Source organism: Homo sapiens, chromosome 4, assembly GCF_000001405.40.
Source record: "Homo sapiens chromosome 4, GRCh38.p14 Primary Assembly".
Lineage (NCBI taxonomy): Eukaryota > Metazoa > Chordata > Mammalia > Primates > Hominidae > Homo > Homo sapiens.
Window position 1 is genome coordinate 118,394,479 of NC_000004.12, and position 6,665 is coordinate 118,401,143.

The window sequence follows — 6,665 nt, forward strand, 5'->3', positions numbered from 1 at the left end:
ATTATCAGAATCCAAAGATTATGGAAGCAGAATCCTTGCTTAAAATATTGTTTTAAAAATTCAAAAAATGAGTAGTATATTCCAGAACATAGCGCCTATTCTGACATGCTATTTATTGCCAGTGTAATAGATCATCAGGACCATCTAATCTAGGGTCTGTGTTTCCTCCAGGCAGCAAATTTTTTTTTACTGGTGCTCTGACCTTAAATGAATCTCACTATATTGCAGGAATCATCAGATAATTCTCATGAATGTCCTTGTTTTTAAAGTTTTTTAAAATGAGACTTAAGAAGCAGCAGGCCAGGCAGCTCCCTCCTGTAATCCCAGTGTTTTGGGAGGTCAAGGCAGGAGAATAGCTTCAGCTCAGGAGTTTGAAATCACAGTGAGACCTGTAACTGTGTGACTGTGTGACTGTGTGACTGTGCCACTGCACTCCGCTTTAGACAACAGAGTAAGACCCTGTCTCTATTTAAAAAAAAAAAAAAAAAAAAAAAAAGCAGCAGCAAACTTTTTTTCCCTGCGGGTGAGTTTTCTAAAAAATGTCAAAGACTCAATAGATTGTTTTGTTCAAAATATTGAAACTGAAACCTACTTTCCCTGTAACTATTTCTCTTATTATCCTTTTAAATTGAAAAGAAAGGCAATACAATAGTAAGAAATTGTTACAGTAAAGATAAAAGTTTTAAGGCACCCTCCTTCATTCTGTTCCAGAAGTACATAAAGGACTAAATGTTTCCCTTTGTGGACCACTGTAAGAGAGCTGGGATTCAAAGCCACTCATGCATCTAAAAAATTCCTGCTTCAAGGTTATTTGATATTTCCTTTTATGCCTTGGGTGGTAAAATTTCAACAATTACATGAATGTTAAAGTGATGTAGAACAAGATAAAATAATTTCTAAAACTGATACAAAAAAGAAGCGTGCTTAGTGACCTTGCATCTTTGAACTAAAGTGGAACAATAAAGGGCCTGGTCCCAGCAAATGCAAGCAGGAGAACCTCCTCCACCACCATTGAATGTTGATCTATGGAAAACACAGACAGAGGTTTGAAAGAGGCAGGCTGGAGACTCACTGTCTCATCGGAGCTGCTGTGGATTATTTTAGAATTTTCACTTTTTACAATTTCCCTCGGGGTTTCCCTAACTTTAATGCACTAAAGATTAAGCTGATTGTATCAGTGGCAAAACATTTCTTTATTTGTATAATTAAGTTACCAAATTTGGAGATTTTCAAAGAGCTATTGTCTTCATGCAGTCACATCTTTACTTGAGGCTTCCAGAAAACAGTATTTTCCTATTTTAAATTCCTGTGAGGTAGGCATATTACTATTCTGATTTTATGGAAGAGGCTTAGAGTGGGTCAGTGACTTGTCTAAGGTTCCATGGTAGGTGACAGAGACAGGATCTAACCCAGAACTTACTCTAAAACCCTTGGTGTCTTTACACCTAGGACTTGCTGCCTCACTTTGGATGCTTACACTTTTTCACCATTATAATCCAAGTTACAATCAAAATATTTTTAGTAACATGTTTGACTATTTATCCTTAGAAGAAATTCCTAGCAACAGAAGTATCATTCAGAAAGCCCTCACCTCTTACTACATCGAAAGAGATCAGAGCCTGGTTCAAATCTTGACCTCCAAAGCTAAGCTGCCTGTACTCAGAGCTTCACTAGCTGTACATCCTTGGATTAGTTAATTCATCTGAGTTCCCTATCTATATGATAGAGTTAATATTAATACTTAACTAGGATTATTGAGAAAACCAAATGAGATAATACATTTAAAGTCTGGCACATAGTTGGTTATAACTATGTCACCAAATTACCCTTGAGACAGTGATATGCATTTGCACTCCCTAATAGCAAGTGTTTTTATTATGTTAAGCCACTAAAATTTTGCATTTGAATTTACTTCTCTGGCTCATATGACCTCAGTTGTGCATGCCCAATTTCTGACCTGTTTCTGGTTCTTAGGTTCCTAACTCTTGTTCCAAAAAGCCTCCTTCTTTTAATGTTCTCAGAGCTAATCACTCTTTACCATTCTAAAACTACCACCCCCTGCCCATAGCCTTCCATCACAGTTGTACAGATTGTCTGCAATAAGGCTTTGAATGGTTTTCAGGCTTTTGATCAGTTTCTACCCTCTGAAGACCTTAGAGCAGTCTGCAGGATGTCTTCAGTTTTAGTCTTGTCACAGAGTTCACTGATTTCCCCAAATCATCGGTGACCTCCAAAGGTTCCGTCTGTAATCAGGTGTACTGGGCTTCATTCTGTATTTATCTGGCATTTATTTAGCATGTGTTTACTGAGTATCTCTTACGTGCTAGCACTGTGCTAAGTGTTGGGAATAGAGAATGAGGTAAGCACAGTCCCAGTCTTCCAGGAGCTTGCAGTGTAGTCTAACCATGTCCCCACCATTGTCTTTAACATGTCAATTAGCTGTAATTCTAGGGAAGGAAGCAATCTTTGGAGCACACAGACAATGCACCAGGATATAACGTTGCTCCTTGAGGCTCCAAAAGGAACCTGAATTCCATAAAGCCATTCCAGGCTAGAGGTGGAATGATAGGTTCACAGTAACATTCCTCTGTCCTCAACCTGTTTAAAAGCCTCCGACATTTCCTCACATTTCCAGAGGACTTCTCATTTGTTCTCGTGACCTCAGACATCTCACTGATTATATCTTGCCCTCTTCTTCTCCTCTGGGTTAGTGCCCTGAGGAAGCTATCCCTAAGCCCTTAAAGGAGAAGTCCGACTGTATTCCTGCTGAAGTTGTAGAAATCACTCTTCCATCACTTTATTGATAAACTCTGATATCTGGATTTCAAACAGTAATGAAATTAGGTTTTCATTTGCTGGTTCGTTGGTGGGAAGAGTTTTTCATATCCATTCACTGTCCTCTCTCCCCAGAACTTATATGTGGGTCTGTGTGGCTGGCATGAATCCCAGCTGGGAGCCCCACTCCACCTCACAATTCTCTCCCCTGGCAGGCCTCAGCAAGACCTTGAGATATGCCCAGACATGTCTGAGTTCTAGTGTGAGCCTAGTTTATTCTGAAACTAGGAACTTTGCTCTACATGTTTATAAAAATGACTGTACATTAACAACTTTATAAGAATAATTATACCAAACTTCTTAAAGGAATTGTGTTAGGTGTAGTGGTATTATGTGTGAAATTTGTCCTTATTTTCTACATTTTTTAATGTTGTGTCATGTAATTATGGCTTTTATCATGCAGAAAAAAATGTATAGCCATACCGAAGAAAGGCTTTGTGCTTCTGGAAAATCATGCCTTCTCTGGCAAGGCTTCAGCTGTTCTGGGCAGATGTGAGTCTGTATTCTAGGGTTGGAGCTGGCACAATATCAGTGATGCAGCCCATCTGTTACAGGTTGAGGTTTTGGATAGAACTCCAGTTGTTCTAGTGAGGAAAAGGAGTGCTAGACAGGGAAATAGAGGCAGAAAACCAATTTTACATGTTCTGGGCACATATCTGTGATGAAGGAAACCAGAATATTCCTCTCTAAAACACTGGGGATTGTTGAGCTAAAATTAAGGTTGAAAGGCAGGAGTACACTGTGCCCCTCCCCTCTGCCTTTCGCACCTGAAGATGGGGTCCTTTATCAGCTCAGAAACAGAACTCAGAGATACTGGTGCCAGAGGATTTAGGAGGAGACTTTCCTTTTCCCATAAATTTACCTTCCTACATTTTTTTGCCTTTTGGAAACCTGAACATACTCTTTTCTATTACATCATGTTTAGCCTGAAGCTGCCTCCCTACATATTTTAAGTTCAGCCTAAAGGTTTCTCTGTACATAGCGAACTATAACTTAAATGGAGGTGTACACAGACTAAAGCCTATGCTTGTGCAGTTACTGAGTTTTGGCCAAGGGGGCCAACTGTTGAAACCTTGTTCAATAAGGTAAATGCCAAGCTGTAACCAACCCAGCTGTTTCCTATTGCACTTCTGTTTTCTGTATGTCACTTTCCTTTTCTGTCTGTAAATCTTCTTCCACCACATGGTTGCACTGGAGTCTCCCTGGCTCAGGCTGCCTGATTTGCGAATTGTTCTTTGATCAATTAAACTCTGCCAAATTTAATTTGGCTAAGGTTTTTCTTTTAACATTTCTTTGTCTTGTCACTACATAGGATTTATGGGCCATTGTTAAAATACCATTTCAGCAGGCCCTTAAAACACTACCTTGAAAGATAAATGTTTGCCCTGAGGCCTCTTCCACGTAATGGGTACAAGTGTTAGTAAACTTCTGCTTATTTTTCTTTTGTTAATCTGACTTCAGGAGAGTGTCTCAACGAAGAACCTAAGAAAAAGAAAAGAAATTCTATTTTCTCCCCTACAATAGCATGCCAAGTACTAGGTCAATTAGCAAAAGAAGTAATTCCAACTCTCATCAGCCAGTGGGATGTATTTCTTGACTGGTTAAGAGTGGCTTGGGACTTGCGGGTGGTAACTTTTAGAGACTCTAGCCTGTGGGAAGAGTCTCATTTTCACTCTTGAATAAGAAGCCCTAGTTATTTCCTGATCACTTTAAAACTCAACCTGGTACACAGAGACAAAAGCACTGGGAAGCACAGTGTTTGCTGAGTTTCCCTGTCCTCTGAACATGTTTTAAGCCATCTTTCAACGATTTCTTTGTCAGAAAAAGTAATTTTTATTATTTTTTTGAAACAGGATTTTGTTTTATCACCCAGGCGGGAGTGCAGTGGCAGAATCACAGCTCACTACAGCCTCACCCTTCCAAGTTCAAGCGATCCTCCCACCTCAGCCTCCTGAGTAGCTGGGATTACAGGCGCGCACCACCACGCCAAGCTGATTTTTGTGTTTTTTTTGTTTTTTGTTTTGTTTTGTTTTGTTTTTTTTTTTGTAGAAATAGAGGCTTGCCATGTTGCCCAGGCTGTTCTCAAACTCCTGGGCTCAAGTGATCCTCCTGCCTCGGCCTCTCAAAGTGCTGGGATCAGGTATGAGCCACTGTGCCTGGCCCAGAAAAAAAATTCTTATTTACTCCAGTCTAATTTTTTTCATTTTAATGCCCCCTCTATTTACCTGTACTAGAACTTCAGAGAAGAAATAAGGATACTACTAGCAGCCTGTGCTAAATGTGGTAGTGGGATGACTTGATAATTTTACTATATTTTAGAATGATCCACAGTTACAGTGTTTTTAATATGTCTATTATCTCATTTATGTTGGAATAGGAAAGACTATACCAAACATCTTAAAGGGATTGTGTTGGGAGTAGTGGTATTATGTGTGAAATTTATCCTTCTTTTTTAAATTTTCTAATTTTATAAATTATTATCTAATTTATGTATTAAGCCTTTATCATTTATATCAATTTCTTTTTTTTTTTTTTTTTGTATTTATTGATCATTCTTGGGTGTTTCTCTGAGAGGGGGATTTGGCAGGGTCATAGGATAATAGTGGAGAGAAGGTCAGCAGATAAACACGAGAACAAAAGTCTCTAGTTTTCCTAGGCAGAGGTCCCTGCGGCCTTCTGCCCTGTTTGTTTGTCCCTGGGTACTTGAGATTAGGGAGTGGTGATGACTCTTAAGGGGCGTGCTGTCTTCAAGCATCTGTTTAACAAAGCACATCTTGCACCGCCCTTAATCCATTTAACCCTGAGTGGACACAGCACATGTTGAAGAGTAGCTATATATGTTAATTTCATATGAGTCATTTCATGTATTTCTTTTCTGTTTGTAACTTCCCCAGTCTATGCAGATTGTTTTAAAATTCTGAAAAATTAACATAATTATAAAGCAAAACCTAATTATTGCAGAAAAGTTAATAAATGCAGAACAACATTAACAATTTAAATAATTCATAATTCTACCACAATGGAAAATCATTTACATATTTGTGCATCATTCAGTTTAGTGTTTTTTTTTTCTTTTTTTTTTTAGGATGGAGCAATCCTTTATTTTCACACACTTTGACAAGGAGGTTTTCTGTAAACAACCTTTCCAGTGGAGAACAGAGAACATGAAATCAGCCCCTAGACATCAGCAGCTGCTCTGCTCAGGGCTGAGGCTCCCCCTTGCCCACATGGTGAGGTGGAGGGGTGCACTTCCTTTCCTTTATCAGCTTATCCTGCTGCTTCCTCATAGTACTCACATGTCTCATCGTTTTCTGCCTAAGTATACTCTCTGTGAAATCATCATATTCTATCTTGCACTCTTTCTCTGCCCAGATACTACCGATTCCATGTGCACTTTCTATCTATTCTTTTTCAAAAGCATGACATCGACCAGGAATCTTGTAGGGCTGTTCAGCACTTTGGATTGTCAACCATCGATCTACGTTAAGGCCGAACCTTTTCTGCACATCCAAGAAAGGCATGGCGATCTGATGCTTATGCCCTTGTCTCTTCTCTAATTTATGGTTTTTAAAAATCACAATATAATTACTGGATTTACTGGCTAAGCAAGGTTCAGCATGCTCGCCATGCTCATAACATTCTTCTAAGTGATTTCTTTCACCTAAATTACTCTCCTGCTACTGTATGACCTGCTTGTTGGCTAGATTTGTTTGGTCAGAATAGGTACTGCCCTCAAAAGTGAGGGGGTAGGCATAATAATGGTCCCTTCATAGATCTCCGCATCTGAATCCCTGGAACCTGTTAATATGTTATGTTACATGCAAAGGGGA

General features: G+C 39.2%; 1 pseudogene, besides 2 other annotated features; it reads right to left on the reverse strand.

Moving 5' to 3' along the window:
* Nucleotides 2,762-3,961: an enhancer, noted in NCBI's record as "MED14-independent group 3 enhancer chr4:119318395-119319594 (GRCh37/hg19 assembly coordinates)". NCBI's record gives its function as "activates an origin of replication core promoter dependent on BRD2, BRD4, P300/CBP and CDK7 cofactors, and independent of MED14, by STARR-seq in HCT116 cells {active_cell/tissue: HCT116}" and the evidence as "EXISTENCE:reporter gene assay evidence [ECO:0000049][PMID:35650434]".
* Nucleotides 4,047-4,096: an enhancer, noted in NCBI's record as "active region_21846". NCBI's record gives its function as "activates an Ori minimal core promoter by ATAC-STARR-seq in GM12878 lymphoblastoid cells {active_cell/tissue: GM12878}" and the evidence as "EXISTENCE:reporter gene assay evidence [ECO:0000049][PMID:35858748]".
* On the reverse strand, nucleotides 5,918-6,390 carry NDUFS5P5 (NADH:ubiquinone oxidoreductase subunit S5 pseudogene 5; annotated as a pseudogene).